This window comes from Homo sapiens, chromosome 11 (assembly GCF_000001405.40).
Source record: "Homo sapiens chromosome 11, GRCh38.p14 Primary Assembly".
Taxonomy (NCBI): Eukaryota; Metazoa; Chordata; class Mammalia; order Primates; family Hominidae; genus Homo; species Homo sapiens.
The window spans coordinates 79,056,115-79,072,433 of NC_000011.10; the positions used below are offsets into that span (position 1 = coordinate 79,056,115).

Here is a 16,319-nt window from a genome sequence, read left to right on the forward strand (position 1 = left end):
AGCTTACTGACAGGGAAAAATGCTTCTGAAACATCTTTCGGTAGGAAGTTTGTCATCATGCATGTTGTTGCCTCCACTGGAATTGAAAATCGTGTTGTCTCAAATTAAAAACAAAACTCTCATTTGCTGTACCTCTCTGCACACTCAGCAGGTCTCAACCCAGTTTCGGGAATGCAATCTGTCTTAATTTACCATGGCTCTGAGCCTTCCTTTTCCTCCCTTTCCCTTTCAGAAGCAAGGTGCTGTTGTGTTAGTATGTGCTGCCACCAGGGAGAGTCACAGAGCTTGCCAGCAGGAAGCGGTTATGGGGTGCATTTAATCTGGGCCAGGACTTCTTAAAGGGACTCCTAAGAACAACAAAGCTAGTAGCCGTCAGTGTTGGCTCCCAGATCACAGGCAATTCCAGCCAATTTCGTGCTATGCGGAGGAGGCCCCAGGTCAAACTTCACTAAGGCAGCTTGAGGCAACCAAGCAGAAGGAAAGGCTAAAATTATGGCTTAAAGGGAAGCTGAGATTGTATCAAAAAATGATGGTTCCAAGAGTCTCATGTGGAAGATAAGGCAAGGCTGGGTGAGGGAGTCAGGCACCAAGGTCAGAAACCAAGATGATCTGCAGCAGGATGGAGCGTGGTGGGAGGAGTGGGCAAGGGATATGGCTCATCACCAAAGCTGTGGACTAAGAACAAGAAAGCACAGGGTATGGCATGGGACAGGCCATGGCTAAAGGACCCGGAACTGGGCCAAGGTAGCTGTGAGGCTGGGAGAAGGATCAGGGGCAAGCCCCCCGTCCTTACAGTACTGGCAAGCCATTTTGGTCACAGAATTTAAGAGTCTTGAAGTCATCCTCAATGCTAACAAGATGGTGGGGAGGAGCAGGGAAGAGAAAGTTCTATCCCCATCCACAGGTACAGGTACTACCCTCACTGCCACACCTCAGTGAACTACAACCCTTGCCCATTCCTCACCTATGGCTCACTCTGACCTGAGCACCTGTTGTCTCTCTCCTGGATGACTGCAATAGCTGCCTACTTCAGCCTTTGCCTGTTAGTCTACTCTCAACACAGCTTCCAGAATCATCCTGTTCAAGTATTAGTCAGACCTCATCACTTCTCCACTCAGAACCCTCCGTGGCTCCCCTGCACTGGCCTGCACACACCCCTACTCCCTCCCCTCTTTGGCCTCCTCTACCATCTAGCCACTCTGGCCTCCTTGCTGCTTTTCAAACTAGCCACACACACACTCCTGCCTTAAGGCCCTAGCACCTGCCCTTCCCTCTCCCAAGATTGTTTTACTTCCAGACATCCTCACAGCCTGCTCCCTCACCTACCGCAAGGCTATGTTCAAATGTCACCTTCTCTGTGAAGCCTTCTCTGGCTACCATCTTTACAACTGCACCTCCCCATGACACTGCCCAGACTCACCCTGGGGACTTACTGTCCCCCTTTCCATAACAACTATTATAGAGAAACATCCTATGTTATTTATTTTTTACCTTGTTCATCATCAATTTTCCCACTAGAATGTATCTCCATGAGAGGGGGCAGTTTTGTCTGCTTTGGTCATTGCTGGAACCCCAGTATTTAAAACAGTGCCTGGTACATAGTAGGTGCTCAACAAATAGTTGTGGAATGACAGACAATCCAGCTAACTTGCAAACCTTACCTCCTAGTACACTCTGCCACCCTATTCCCAGTTGCACGCGCTTATGTCCTAGCCTCATATGACAAACCTTCTCTTGGTTTACCCCCAAGCTTTGCCCACATAGAATGTCCCCTCTTACCCCTCTTTGCCTGTTACAGTCCTTTCCAGCCCTCAAAACCTAGGGGCCAGCACTTCTTCCATAAAGCTTTCTCAGATACCTTCTGATGGGATATTTCTCTTAATCCTCTAAAACATGTACTTCAAATGTCATTTTTCTAGCATGTCATAATTTGAGAGTGGCCCAGTATGATCTCTGGGTCCTGATCATTTCTAATAGGTTATGGGTTCAATTTCTTTTCTGGAAGTTTCTAATATTGACAAAGAAGTTTATATTCTGGATATAGCTAGAAGCATCTCTAGCATCTATATTTTTTGGGTTGAGCTAACATGAACGTGTCTCTATAAAACAAAAAAGACTGTAGAACACGGTGGTCAAGAAGGATAATGGGCCAGGTGCGGTGGCTCACGCCTGTAATCCCAGCACTTTGGGAGGCTGAGACGGGCAGATCATAAGGTCAGGAGATCGAGACCATCCTGGCTAACACAGTGAAACCCTGTCTCTACTAAAAATACAAAAAAAATTAGCCAGGTGTGGTGGTGGGCGCCTGTAGTCCCAGCTACTGGGGAGGCTGAGGCAGGAGAATGGCATGAACCCTGGAGGCGGAGTTGCAGTGAGCTGAGATCGTGCCACTGCACTCCAGCCTGGACGACAGAGTGAGACTCCATCTCAAAAAAAAAAAAACAAAAAAAAGGATAATGGACACTGTAGTAGGATGGATCTGGATTCACACCCTGGCTCTGACATTTACTAGCTATGCACCCTTCAATGAGATAACCTAACTGCTCCAAATCTCTGTGTCCTTGGCTAGAAAATGAGGGAAGGTTAAGAGTTGGTGGGCTTGTTGTCTCCAAGGTTCTTTCTAGCTCACAGATTCCGAGAGGCTCAGAGGCTCTGGCTCTACCAGGCTCTCCTCAGTCCTCTTGGGAGCCTGGGGGCAAGCAGCAGAGTAATCAAATGTGGGGCCCAATCCCTACCCTAGTGGATGGGACCTAACTTCCCATTCTAGAAGATGGTGTCCCATTGTACAATGAGTTGGGTTGCTGCAGTATTTTGACCACTTTGGGACTTAATGATAGATATTCTTATAGATTTTTAAAACCAAGTCTCTTGGGTATGGGGCCAAGGAGAGCAGAGGATAAATGGAGTTAATTGGTAATGAGTTCCTTTCTCACTGTGCTTTGGAGATGCTCACCTAATCTACTGACTCTGAATGAGCAATTTGGCTGCCTAATTAGGTTAACCAATAATTTCCCTTTTGACACCAGGCTGCTTGACAATTTGGGGCAGGGGTAACTGTGATTCTGTTTCATTGTTTCCTTTCAAAGTAGGTTTCTTAATTTGCCTCTGGGATTAAATCATGTACATTCTTACTGTTCCCCAGACCCATCATGCTTCTGCGTGCCTCCAAGCCTTGGGTCATGCAATTGTCTCTATTGGGAATGCCTCTCTCAGATCCCTCACACTCAGTGAAATCCTACTAGGCTTTCAAGCCCCATGCATAACATGAGTGGAATGAAGGAATGAGCCTCTGCACCCTCAGGGCAAAATGAACTGCTCCTTTATTGTCATCATCCAGCTTCTTAAAAAATTAATATTAATAGCTCCCGTGAATTAAGGCCCAACACAGACCTGACGCTTCACAAATGCTGTAGTACAGGCTCACGGCAACACTTCAAGGAAGGAAGATGGCATGCTGTTTTTGTAATTTTTTATCATGTGAAAAATACATAACAGTTAATCTTTTTAATCATTTTGAGGAATAGAGCTCAGTGGCATTAGTGTAGTCACATGGTTGTGCATCCATTACTCTTATCTCTGAACTTTTTCATTATCCCAAACTGAAAATCTGTACCCATTAAACAATAACTCCCCAACAGCCTCTTCTTAGTTCCTGCTAACCACTGATGTGCTCTTTTTAAAATGACAAAACTGTGGCTCCAAGAGGTGAAATGCCTTGCCCAAGATCTCAGAGCTTAGACTGGGGCAACCAGGACTTGAGGCCAGGTCTCCACATTGGACTCTGAAACTAGCATTCTTTTTCCACTCTGCAACACTGCCTGCTGCACCTCTATTAAAGAGCTGCAAGGTGGTCACAGCCCTGCCTCCCTCACCGGTCATCTAGAGTCCACATCCTAGAATCATGCTGCACACTGAAGGAGCTCAGCATAGCTGTGGGACAAATTACAGAATGAACCCACAAAAGACACTGTGTCAGCTTGACCCAGTGCTTGGGAGCGAAGCTTGAATTGCAACCTCTGCTTTCTAAAAAACATCTATTGCATGCCGACTGTTCCTGACAGGCCAGCTTCTCACTGCCTCCCGACCCCCAGCCTGTTGGCCTCTCACGGCAGGGGAGGAGAGGCCTGAGGGCTGGCTCTGCCTGAAGGCCCCGAGTAGGAAGATTTGTGTTTACATTACCCAGTCAATTCTGTATTTATTTTAGATATTAAGCAGTGACATAAAAGCTGCTGACATTAACCTTCAGGGGCAGAAATTGTCTTTAATGGACCCCATAAAAGTTATTATTGATGGCAGCTGCATGCAGCATCAGTGTGACCTCTGCAAAAGCCTCTACCGCTATCAATACTGTTGACAATTACTATTGACTAATGCAAGGCAGGGTGTGGAGGCAGAGTAAATGTTCCTGTGGCTGGAGGTTGCTGGGGGTTATGCTTCACATTTTACATTTATCTGGTAAGGATCTCTGAGAACTTGGTTGCACATTTTTGGTGGCCTCAACTGAGAGCTGAGGACGCCTGCAGACTCAAATGGAGGCAGGCAAAGGACTCAGAGAAACCAGACTTCAAATATAAGCTCTGCCAACTTGCTGACTCGCAGGCTATTGTGTCTCAGTTTGGAGCCTCAGGTTTCCCATTTGGCAAATGGGAATGCCACTGAGTTGCCAGGGAGATTAAAGGCAATTGCACATGTACAGTGGTAGGCCCATAGCATGAGGTTGCTGCCTTTGCTCTACCCCTGAGAAGTGACCACACTGTGATGTGTTCACTGACAGGTCCAGTGGAACTGAGCCCTGTTCTGATGGTGAGATCCGAGTTCTCATCACAAGAAAAGGAGAGGTCTGGCTGGGGCCCAGGGGTTTGTTGAGGTCAGTGGGAACTAGAGAAAGATGGGAGAAGGGGAAGGTAAAAGAAAAGGGAGAGACAGGGTAAAAGGAACCAAGACTTTTGTCATAGAGCCTGGCTCCAGCTCAACTAGATATGTGGCCCTGTGCACAGCCTTTAATCTCTCTGTGCCTCAGTTTCCTCCGCTATAAGTTGGGGAGATAATAGTGTAAGAGGAACCTGAACCTAATCAGTGAATAAAAGGGAGCCATTCCCATGATTGCTGTCATTATTTAGATCTGAGTACCGCATAACGAAGCTGTTAATGTAACTTCCTAACCAGGAGCAAGTAGACAGCCTTTGGGCACCTATGGGGAGTCTAGGTTTAGGGAGTCCAGTCTTGGAAGGGATGTGGGAAACAGAAGCCCTTTATTAGATTCATCTGCCTACCTCCTCTGCCCACCCGTCTACCCTGAGTACAGTGAGGCTTTGAGTTCTGTGGCCAGTGGGGAAATGGACGATCACAAAGAAATGACAACATGGCCAGGGGAGCAGGCAGCCATTTCTCTGTCCCACTATCAAAGGCTGAAACTCTTCAGGCTTGATTAATATGTCATTATCACCCAACAGAGGCTTAATTCAGCTGTAATTCAGCTCTCAGGGAATATACAATAATGTGCGCAAGTGTGCACCTCTTTCTGTCATGACTTTATGTTAAGTGATCATTTGTCACCATGGCAAGAAGCCTTCAAAAGAACAAATAACCCAAGTATTTTGCTACAGAGGGAACTCACTGTAACTAGGGCTGTAAGAGTAAAGATTTTAGAGTCATGTAGGCTTGAGTTCCAATCTCATTTTGCTTGCTGTGTGACCTATGCAGATTTCTTAACTTCTCTGGGCTGCGGTTTCCTTACTGTGTGCAATGGGGATAATAAAACCTTCTTTAAAGGGTTGTAGGGGGAGTAAATGAGATAATATAGCTAAAGCAGTTAGCACTGTGCTTAGGTTGAGATAATCGGTGGCAACTATTTTTTTTTTTTTTTTGACAGAGTCTAGCTCTGTTGCCCAGGCTGGAGTGCAGTGGTGCAATCTTGGCTCATGGCAACCTCTGCCTCTGGGGTTCCAGTGATTCTCCTGCCTCAGCCTCCTGAGTAGCTGGGATTACAAGTGTGCACCACCATGCCTGGCTAATTTTTGTATTTTTAATAGAGATGGGGTTTTGCCATGTTGCCCAGGCTGGTCTTGGACTCTGGCCTCAAGCAATCCATCCACCCCAGCCTCTGAAAGTGCTAGGATTACAGGCCTGAACCACCATGCCCAGCCATACAACTATTAAGTATTAATGCTGTTATTATTATCATTTTCCTCTTGCACACCTTCATCTTGTGCATGCAATTAGGATCCAAGAATTCTACATCTGGAAGGGCCTACAGGTCATTTCATTTAGCTCAGCTAGACCCAAAAAGCGTTTATTAGAATACTGGTCCCACCAGATGCTCTGAGAATAAAAGAGTTCTGTGGTCAAATTGATTTGGGGAATGCTGCATACATCCTCCCTTGGTAATTTATCCATTAGCATGCACATTAACATCTTAAAAACTCTAAGAAGCCCTGCAGTAAAGAAAGTGGTTTAAGTTTGTTTGATTCAGTGTTTCCTACATTATTTGACCACAGAACAGCCCCTTACCCCATCTAAGAACTAACATTCTCAGATCAGGGGATGCTAATTTCATTTAAACTATTTATTTTATAGATGAGGAAACTGAGGTCCCAAGAAAGGATGCAATTTACCCCATGCCACACCCTAGACCAGTAATAGAACTGAGGCTCCCTGCCTGCTGTGGTGTGATGGCACAGACCCTATTCTCTTTGTGCCAGGCCCTGCACTGCCCTTCAATTTAATGCTCAAGTTCAGTGCGTGGTCGGGGTGGGGAGAAGCAGGGTTGCTGGCTGGGTATGGCCTTGGGAAGGTGGGTGAGGGAGTGTGGGTGGTTTCCCACCAGAGAGAGGGAAACTCCTCTGGTACTGAGGTCATCGGCCCCTTCACAGGGCTGGCTGGGGACCAACGGAGAGTGACAGTGCTAAGCCACTACCCAGTACCCAAGCAATTGCCACCCTCCCACCCCTAGACAAGTACACAGGCTCCCTAGGCGAACATGTTAGTCCTCTGGGAGGGGTGGCAGGATGCACCTTTGGAACTCTGCCACATGGGACTCTGGACCCTAAGGGGATACATTTCCCCCACCTGACCCTGACCGTGCGTGGTCTCCTGCCCATCCCCAATCTGGGGATCAATCTTGGTTTTGCACCACTCAGTTGGAGCCTCCTCTTCAGAGACTAACCCCTCTAAGCCTCATCTCTGACCTGGTCCCTGCCCTGATCCAGGGGAATCCCGGGCAGGAATCACGAGGATCTACATTTGAAGCTAGAAGCCAGCAGGGGGCACTGGCACCAGGCTAGGTGCTTCCTATTCTATTAATAATTCAGACTGCCCTCCCCTTACCCTTTTGCTGGCTGTCGTGCGGAAGCACCAGCAGGCCTCCTCTTCACTGGGCTTCCCAGAAACAGCCCTCCAGGTGCTGGGGCTGTTCCTGGGCTCTGCCACTCTTTCCTTTGCTGCCAGAACCCAGCAGGACCCACCTCGGTGCTGACCTGGCTCAGCAAAGCTGCCCAAGGGCTGGTAGGGCATGAAATATATAGAAGGGGAGATTCCCCCCAGGCAATAGTCTCCACGCAGGACCACGTTCGACTCAGAGCCCCTCAGAATTCTGCCAGCAAGGTCCCAAGGGAGAAAGAGGAAGACGCTGAAACTGGGCCCCCTTTCCTCCACCATGAAAAGGAGGTGTGTGAACCAGGTGTCATCTTTTCCTCCCACAGCCTCTCTCAGGCCTTGGGAACGAGCCTCAGGGAGGAGAGTGGAATAATGAGTGTGCAGCTGGCACGTCCTGGGATCAGGGGGAAGCTGCAGCAAAGCCTCAAGTTTTAATCATTAAAGTTTATTTTTTTTTGTCTTTTTACTTTCTTTTTATTTTTAATAGACAGATAATAATTGTATATATTTATAGGGCACAATATGATGTTTTGATACCTAAATACCCTGTGGAACGATTAAATCAAGTTAATTAACATATCTCTCATCTCACATACTTATTTTTTTGTGGTGAGAATATTTAAAAATCTACTCTTTTAGCAACTCTGAAATATATAATGTATTATTATTAACTATAGTCACCATGCTGTGCAATGGATTTCAAAAACTTACTCCTCCTAACTGAAACGCTGTACCCTTTGACAACATCTTCCCTAAACCTCAAGTTATCCCCAAATGACAGTTTTTGTTTGGAAGCCATCCTCTGAACAACATAAGATGCTGATGTGGGACAGCGTTCCTAGAGGTTGCCCAGGACAGCTGAGCACCTGGAGCTAGAGATGGCATGAGCAGGATTCAGGCAGGACCAGGCCTTGCTGATTTGATGGAGGATAAACTATGGGGAATCTGTTACCACTGCCCCATGCCCTCTCTGCTCCCCTGCACACAGGCACCTTATGAGCAATGACCCAGAGACTTAGGCGCCTCCCTAATCCGGAAGCAAAGAGCAGCGACCCAATCTCTGGCATGTCACTCATGGGTGGGCATTTCACGTGACTCTCCAAGAGACTCTGACATTTGACCCCTGAGAGTAAAGCAATTTTTCACCAACTTCACCAGAGCCCCGGCAGTGGAGCAGGAAATCAATATTATAAATAAAACCCCAGCCCCACCACCCAGGCACCCGGCACAGACCAAACCAGCCACTCACCAGTCTCAGTGTTTTCATGCTCGGTGTCGGTGAGTGTGAGATTGGAATTGGCCCGGCTGGACAGGCAGGAGCTGCGCCCTGACCGTGTGCTCCGGCCCCACAGACGCACGGGGTGCTCAGGGGACAGCACCGTGTCAGCCTCCATGTCGGCATCAGAGCCAGCCCCCATGGAGTAGCCGCAGTGGGGGAGGCCAATGTCTGTCCGGTACAGGGTCCCGTGAGGGGGCGTTACTTCTTCCAGCCCCAGCTCCCGCAGGGTGAAGTTGGCACCTGGGAGGAAACACAGGTGAACTTGGTTAGGGCACTGAGATGAGGTCTGCGTCTGCCTCTGCCTGAAGCCTGGCCTTCTTACCCCAGGGCTCACTGTCGTTCTTTGAACTTGCTGTGGCATTCTATGCCCATGCCTTTGTTCAAGTGATTGCCTCTGCCTGGAGGGCTTTTTCTGCCCCCTCTTCATCAGCCTGAACCCTCCATTTCCCTTAAGCCTCAACTCAAATGGCACCTGCTCTGTGAAGTCTACCCCAATACCAACACCTGTGCAGAATTCATTTTCACTTTCTCCAAGCTCCTTCCAGAGTCCTTGGGCCTGGTCATACTGCACAGTAGAGTTGTTTAAGGGTCTACCCCTCTGCTGGAGGTGACCTCAGCAAGGGCAGGCACCATGTTTTGCTTATGCTTATTCTTAAATCTCTTTCCCTAGAACAAAAATGCAGTACTCAGAAGGGGCTCAATAAATGCTTGTTAAAATGAATTGAGGGCTTCAGGTCTCCTTTTCCAGGGAGGACTTTTCAGCAAGTCCTGAGCAGGGCAGAAGCCCAGTCGATGAGATCTAAATGTCTCCCTTGGGGCCAGAAGTTCCTTTCTGGCCAGGTCAAGAAAGCCTGAAGCTTGAGAGTGAAGAAGATGGGGACTGGCAGAGAAAAGTCAGCCTCACACCAGGAAAAAGGCTCTGCCTGCTGCTTCCTTATCCCAAGTGGGTCTGTGATGGGGAACTGGCAGAGACAGGTCTCTTGAGGGCTTGGGCAGGCCTGGCAATGCCTAGGACAGAGGCTGGGTAAGAGAAGGTCACCTAGGAGTAGTACCTGAGTGACAAAGAGAATGCTGACTTCATGGAAAACTAGCCTCCCTGTCACTCCTGCATGTGAATTCAATGTCTATTCAGGGACAGCTTCTCCTGTACTTCTAGTATTCCCAGGAATGTGTTGCAGGGAAAAGGAAGAGGGAGTATACAAAGTCAGTAAGGGTCAGATCCCACTTAACGTGACGATCTGGAGAACTGGAGTTATAATCAGGCAGAACCCACATTTAAACCAATTCATGCCGGCCCTGGGCCTGTACTGAGATACAGCAGTGAATAGGATACAGTGCCCAACTTTACAGAACTCTCTGGCGGGTAGGAGAGACACAACCAAACACATGATTAAGTGTGCAAGTTCAAAATGGGGAGATCCACAGAGTGCTCTGGGAGCGCAGGAGCAGAAGGTGGGATATTGGGGTGAGGAGCTTAGAGGAGAGGTTTGCGATGAGAGTGAATGTGGAGAATGACAAGTTAGAAGGCAGAAGAGGTGGATGGCCAAGCTTTAAAGGCCTCCTCGGCCAGGACTGAATAGGACAAGCCTGCAAAGGAAAGCAAGAAAGAACTGCCGGAGGGGTAGGAGGCGAGCCAGCAGAGACGCCATCTTATTATAATGGTGTGTCTCACTCTTACAGATAAACTTGTGCTCCCCTGGTGTGTCCTAATTATCTGAATCCAACACCTATCACACCTGCTGCAGAGTAGGTGCCCTGTAAAAGTTAGGTAACCACACACATGCAGACACACACAGACGTGCACGCGCACACACACATGCACACAAGCACACACGCGCGTGCACACACACGTGCGCACACACATGAACACACAAGTGCACACACACGTGCAAACATGCACATGCACACACACGCACGCATGCACACTCGAGCACACACACGCATGCACACTCGAGCACACACGCGCACGCACATGCACACACGCACGCACAAGCACGCACACACACACAAGCACATACTCTGGCAGTACTCTGGACAACAGATAAGGGGACAAGGAAGCGGGGAGGAGAGACCAGCTGGGGTGCTGCTGAAATGCAAGCTGCTATGCTAGGCTGTGGTGGTGGGTGGAGGTGTATCTCAGGCCTCCTACTCAGCTGGCTCAGGCTGGGACAGCCTTGATGCCAGGTTACAGTCATGAAGTACTTCCACACAGCTTGGTAAATAACTTGTGCCAAGCCACCTCAGTGCCTCCTTCCACACCCAGTGCCTTTCAGCCTCTGCTCTGGCTGTTCCAGCCCCTTCCCAATACCCCCAATCTCCTCATGATCCAGTTACTAAACAAAGGGTTAATGTCCGCGGACCAGGCATAAAAGAAGCCCGTGGGCTCTGCTCAGTGGCCAGGCAGACATTCTGATTGGTTAGAGGCTGGGCCAACCAGATGTTAAGTATTTTGCATACCACTCCTCCGTGCCCTACTCCAATCTGCCCTCCGATTTTGCTCTCCTTCAAAGAAAAAGAAAATGCCAAATTAGAGCCTAAATTCCTCAGTCGGCTTCCTGCTCTCCCTGCGTATCACACTCCCTGGCCGCTCTCTGATCTACACTCCTCTCTCCTGTCCTGCTCTCGCCCCCTGTCCCCATCCACAGTTCTATCTGTGCTCTGTTCGGCCGGCCCTCTCAAAGAGAAGCCACTCACGTGTTATGAAGAATGACTCTTACATTAAGTGAAAAATCAAATTTATTTGCAACAAACAGCCTGGGCTGCATTGATTTCCATCTGGCTTGTCCTGCATGCCCTTTTAAGCAGCCAGACTCAGCATCAATACAAGTGAGTTAAGACATCTCGGGACTAGGATGTCTTAGGAACTTAACTCCTAGGAAAATGCAAGGTAAGGGCTCACTCTAAGGGTTCCATGATCCTGTTGAGCCAGTCAGCTCCTCTGATGTGTGAGTTTGGAAGATTTACTTCATCCAATTTAAGAAGTCCTCATGGTTTACTTGCTTTATGTCCTTTTTGGCCTCTTTTCTGAGGCCCGGGGCATGAGTTGACATCCCATCTCACTCAACATCTAGCTGTGCAATCTTGGGCTTGTGATCACCTGAGCTTCAATGTTCTTGTCTTTAAAATGGGATGATAATCTATGACCTGCTACCTTCAAAGGATTTTTGAGGATCCAGGGTGATAATTTGAAGGAGAGTATTTTGTAAACTGCTACGCACATGCCTGCCTATGAGATGAGAATGCTTATTTGTTATTTACAAAGACAAGGAGCCGCCCCTTCCCTGAGCCTCATGTGCTAGGTCCAAGCCAACCGGGGCTCACTGAGCTCTGTCACTTACGGACAGGACGGAGCAAAAGAAAAGCTTTCAGAGACCATTTTGTCTCTTCTCTTCAGTGAGATCCAGAGATGACAATGAATAACAGGCAGCATTTCTGAAGCATCTGTTCTGTGCCAGGTACTGGTGTCAAGTGTTTCATTTATAGTTCTCATCAATCCTCACCACCTATTAGGTACTGTTTATCCCTTTGCACAGGTAAAGTAGCTGAGAATACTAAAAATGGCAGAGCCACAGTTCAAATCTAGGTCTGTTTGATGCCAGAGTTGGAGCCTTAACCATAAGCTGGGAAAGGGACTGCTCATTTTTCAAGCCTCACAGGCAGAACAGGTCAGCTTTCACATGGATACAGGCCTGTGGGAGAGAATGGAAATGAAGAGGTCATAGGTGTGCTCTGTGTGTGTGTGTGGCCAGCTCCTCTTACCTCTGTGATCTTGGGCAAATGATTCACCCTGGGGTTGTTATGAGAATTAAATAACACTGTCAAAATGCATATACATTACATAGCACAGTGCTCAGCTGACCCTGTCTGTGAAGGGGGAGAAGGGCAGAGCAAATCAGGGTGGGCTGCACAAATTGTCAGGCATTGGTCATGACCCAACAGGCATCAAAGAGGGCTCAAGCCTCTGCAGGCAGAAAAACAGGAATCACCGAGGCACCAGGGTAGGAAAGAAATATCATGGCAGGTCTGGAAACTTGAGCAGTTCAGCAGGGCTGGCCCATGAGTGGTGGAGTGTGGAGAGTTAGGGGACAAAAAAAGTCTAGAAAAACAGAAACAGATTTGGGGAAAGAGTTCTATGCTAGGGGGAGCTCAGTTTAAGGGCAACAGGGAGTCACCCCCAAGCTTCATCTGGCTGCAGTACAGAGAATGGCTAGAGGCGGGCAGCTCTGGGTGAAGGGGGGTGGTTGTGGTTAATCCTCCAAGAAAAATGATAATGGTTTGCACTGGGAAGTATCAGAGGGAATGGCTAAGAAGAATGGATTTGAATACTGGGGCAGGATGGATAGGCTTTGGGGACTACTGTAGGTAGAAAGTGCAGGAGAGGGAGCCAGGCACCAGAATATCCTACAAATTACTAAGTTTTCATGTCTAACCATCTCGGGAAGGTCTTCCTCTCAAGGTCACACAGGGCTTGACACAAAGAAACTGCTAAATATGTTTGTTGAATGAACAGCAAAACTAGGAACTAACATTTATTCAGCGCTTACTTGGTATTATCAGGCTTACCACTTAAAGGCCATCTCATTAAGTCCTCAGGACAATTCAGTGCACTAGGGAGGCTTCTCACGGCCATGTAACAGTTGAGGACTGAGGCTTAGAGGGGAGCCTAACTCAACTCTAGGCAGGTAGACAAACACTGGAGCCCAGCTCCTAACCACCTCACTATGCCAGGGAAGTGGGTGAGCGAGAAAATAAATGAACTAAGAATGAACTACAGGGCAGGCTTTTTACCAGGTCCAAGTGCCCAAATGGCAGAAACTTGCTGTTGATATGGCACCCCAACTGGTGTTCCAGCTCACCTGTGCCACGCCCACCTGCGCCACGCCCACCCGAGCCCATGCCTACCTGAGCCAAGCTCACCTGCGCCTGAGGCCCGCCCCCTCGGCCTTGTCCTTACCTGTGCGGCAGAATTCCTCGGCCTCCTGCGGCACAATGTCCTTGACGCGGCTGCCATAGGCTAGGCGGGCGTCCTGGTCGTAGGCCTTCAGGGTCTCGCTGGAGCTGTACGATTTCTGCGGGGCTTTGCCCTCCTCGCTGTCCGCGGACGAGCTGGTGTAGCGGCGCTCGGCGTCGCGGCGCCGGGTCAGCGAGCGGTAAGGCTTCCTCTCCTTCACGTCCATGGCCTCCGGCCCGCGCTCCTCCACATCCACAAACAGGGTCCTCGCCGCACTCAGGGCCGAGTGGTCTAGAGCCAGGGAAACCAAAGATAGGGCGTGAGAGGCAGAGAACATTCCCGGGTTCATCCTGGTCCTGGATTCACCCTTGCAGCCCTGTGGACAGAGAACCCCAGGCAGTGGAGGAGAGGGTACCGCTCCACCACTACGCAGCCCATAAGTGGCAAAGGAAAGTCGCACCCAGGACCTCTAATTACAAATCCTGGCCCTTTTTGCTACTTAGCCTATTCACCTTGAGGAGGCCTCCTCCAGTGATGGGCACCGAGGAAGCTGACAGCAAAGGCCAAAGGGCACTGGTGGTTAGTAATATTCCTAGGTAGGAACCAAGCCTGTTTGGTTCCCATCACATCCCACATGGAGCAGGGCCTGACCCAGCTCTGGCCCAGGGCTCCTTAAAAATCTGTGAGATGAATGATTGCATGCAAACACTGGGGTAAGCACTTTGCATATATTATCTTAGTAAATCTTGATATCTTCTGAGATGTTATTACTCTCTCCAACCTCTTTTGGAAACGAGCTAAGGTATAAACAACCAACCCACACTTACCACTACCAGATGATTATATAATTATTTGCTTTTTGCCCATCTCCTTCTGCTAGTCTGTAAGCTCTATGAGAGCAGAAACTTTACCTGTACTGCTCACTCCTGGTCTCTAGCACCTCGAACAAGGGCTGGTACACAGTAGGCGCATAATAAAGATGTGTTTAATTAACCAGCTAACCATCCCCATCTGACAGATGAGAAAACTGAGACTCGGAACCCCCTTCAAGGTCACTTAGGTGTCAAGTAAAAAAGCCAGGATTGGAACTCTGATCTGTTTGGCTCTAAAGCCTGCATTTTTCCTATTCCATTCTGCCTCCCTGAGACGTCTCCCTCCTACTCTTAGTACACAAAAGTGCCCTTCCAGTTACTCAGAGAATGTCCCTCACCTCCAGACTTGCCCATCTCCTCAGTGCCACCGTCAGCACTGGGCAGCACAGTGTCTGCCCCATCCATCTGGGTGTTGCTAGAAGGTCTGACTGGTGGGAAGCTCCTAATAGCCCTTTCTCCTCTTTTCCCCATCTTGACCCTTCTGCCCTACACTGACACCCCTGGATTTTTGAGTTGTGATAGCACCCTCTTTCTCCCTCCAAATGTCTTCTTTGAGCTCTGGGGTAGCAAACACAACCATACAGGGCCAGGAGCTCAATACAGAAGGAAAGCAGAATATCCTCCGCAGAGACATAGGGCATCACTTAGTTTTTATGAAACACAACCTGCTCAGTTCTGGCTTTCTGTTGCTCCATCTTTCAGAGCAGCATGGGTACACAAGACATTCCCCTGCTTCACTATCCAATTAGAGAGACAACAGAGCAAGAGCTGTGATAAATGCTGCCAACATCAGATCTCAGTGTCCAGGGTGGGGCCTTGACAGCTGGGAGGGTGGGTCTGTCCAAGTGCTTGCCTGTGCTGCAAAGTGGGAGTGTGGGTGGGAGTGTCTGGGGGGTGGGGGTGTCTTGTGAATTTTTAAGACAAGCTGGAAATTTGGAGTTAGATATAAAAGCTATGACTTTAAAATGTTGATCCATTATTATTATTTAATTTTAATACTTTGCAGGCCAAACAAAAGAGACTTCTGAGTTGAATTTGCTCTGAGGCTCGTAGTTTCCAAATTCTGCCTTTGACCATGGACATCAGAGGTAGCTCTTTGGCCCGTTTTTCCAAGAGTGCAAACATTTGTGATTTTATTGGTGCCTCACAATAACTGTGAAGTAGAGATTACAATTATTTTCATCCCCATATTATAGATGAAGCTACAGTGACCCAGGGCCATATAGTCTCCTGCCTAAGGCCACATGGTGAGTTAGTTGCAAAGCTGGCACTAACTACATAGACTGCAATGCCTCGGGATTATACCTAGATCCAATTAAGATGAATAGTTGACACTGTTTTGGTTCCCGATTCTCAAAATATCCCTGGAAATTAATGCTGGGGCAAGGGGTGTAACTCGAGACACACAGAAATCAAATTATATTACTGAGGCTCAAACCCAGAGCTCTGAGCTCTGCCATCCTGATGCTCAGTGTTCCCAATAGCTGGCAAGATGATAGTCCTCTGAGTGTCTGAGAAGCAGGACCACAAGGGAAGATCAGTGATAGTACCTTCTACTCCAGGGTTTTAAAAACTTTCTTGACTGCAGTCCATAATTAGAAAAACATATTATGGCCAGGCATGGGGTGGCTCACATCTGTCATCCCAGCATTTTAGGAGGCGAAGTGGAAGGATCACTACAGGCCAGGAGTCCGAGACCAGCCTGGGCACAGCAAGGCCCTGTTTCTACAGACAAACAAACAAAAATTTAGCCAGGCATGGTGGCACATGCCTATAGTCTCAGCTACTCAGGAGGCTGAAACGGGAGGATAGCTTGGGCCCAGGAGGTCAAGGCTATAGTGAG

General features: G+C 48.5%; 1 protein-coding gene across 9 annotated transcripts in view, besides 4 other annotated features; it reads right to left on the minus strand.

Moving 5' to 3' along the window:
- The window catches only part of TENM4 (teneurin transmembrane protein 4), a 788,202-nt gene that overhangs the window by 403,286 nt on the left and 368,597 nt on the right, over positions 1-16,319 (minus strand). For 5 of the 9 annotated variants that reach the window (XM_047426739.1, XM_047426737.1, XM_047426736.1 and 2 more), the window contains 2 exons: positions 13,608-13,895; positions 8,624-8,893 (listed from right to left, as the gene is read on the minus strand). In XM_047426739.1, coding sequence (XP_047282695.1) covers positions 8,624-8,893; positions 13,608-13,895 — 558 coding nt within the window. Of the gene's footprint in view, positions 1-8,623; positions 8,894-13,607; positions 13,896-16,319 lie in introns of those variants that run through there. The other 4 variants (XM_047426742.1, XM_047426741.1, XM_047426740.1 and 1 more) reach the window with 1 other exon arrangement.
- Positions 3,567-4,067: an enhancer, noted in NCBI's record as "H3K4me1 hESC enhancer chr11:78770726-78771226 (GRCh37/hg19 assembly coordinates)". NCBI's record gives its function as "activates a minimal SCP1, AML or CMV promoter by ChIP-STARR-seq in naive H9 embryonic stem cells {active_cell/tissue: H9 hESC(naive)}" and the evidence as "EXISTENCE:reporter gene assay evidence [ECO:0000049][PMID:30033119]".
- Positions 4,068-4,568: an enhancer, noted in NCBI's record as "H3K4me1 hESC enhancer chr11:78771227-78771727 (GRCh37/hg19 assembly coordinates)". NCBI's record gives its function as "activates a minimal SCP1, AML or CMV promoter by ChIP-STARR-seq in naive H9 embryonic stem cells {active_cell/tissue: H9 hESC(naive)}" and the evidence as "EXISTENCE:reporter gene assay evidence [ECO:0000049][PMID:30033119]".
- Positions 10,572-11,138: an enhancer, noted in NCBI's record as "H3K27ac-H3K4me1 hESC enhancer chr11:78777731-78778297 (GRCh37/hg19 assembly coordinates)". NCBI's record gives its function as "activates a minimal SCP1, AML or CMV promoter by ChIP-STARR-seq in naive and primed H9 embryonic stem cells {active_cell/tissue: H9 hESC(naive and primed)}" and the evidence as "EXISTENCE:reporter gene assay evidence [ECO:0000049][PMID:30033119]".
- Positions 13,635-14,191: an enhancer, noted in NCBI's record as "H3K27ac-H3K4me1 hESC enhancer chr11:78780794-78781350 (GRCh37/hg19 assembly coordinates)". NCBI's record gives its function as "activates a minimal SCP1, AML or CMV promoter by ChIP-STARR-seq in naive H9 embryonic stem cells {active_cell/tissue: H9 hESC(naive)}" and the evidence as "EXISTENCE:reporter gene assay evidence [ECO:0000049][PMID:30033119]".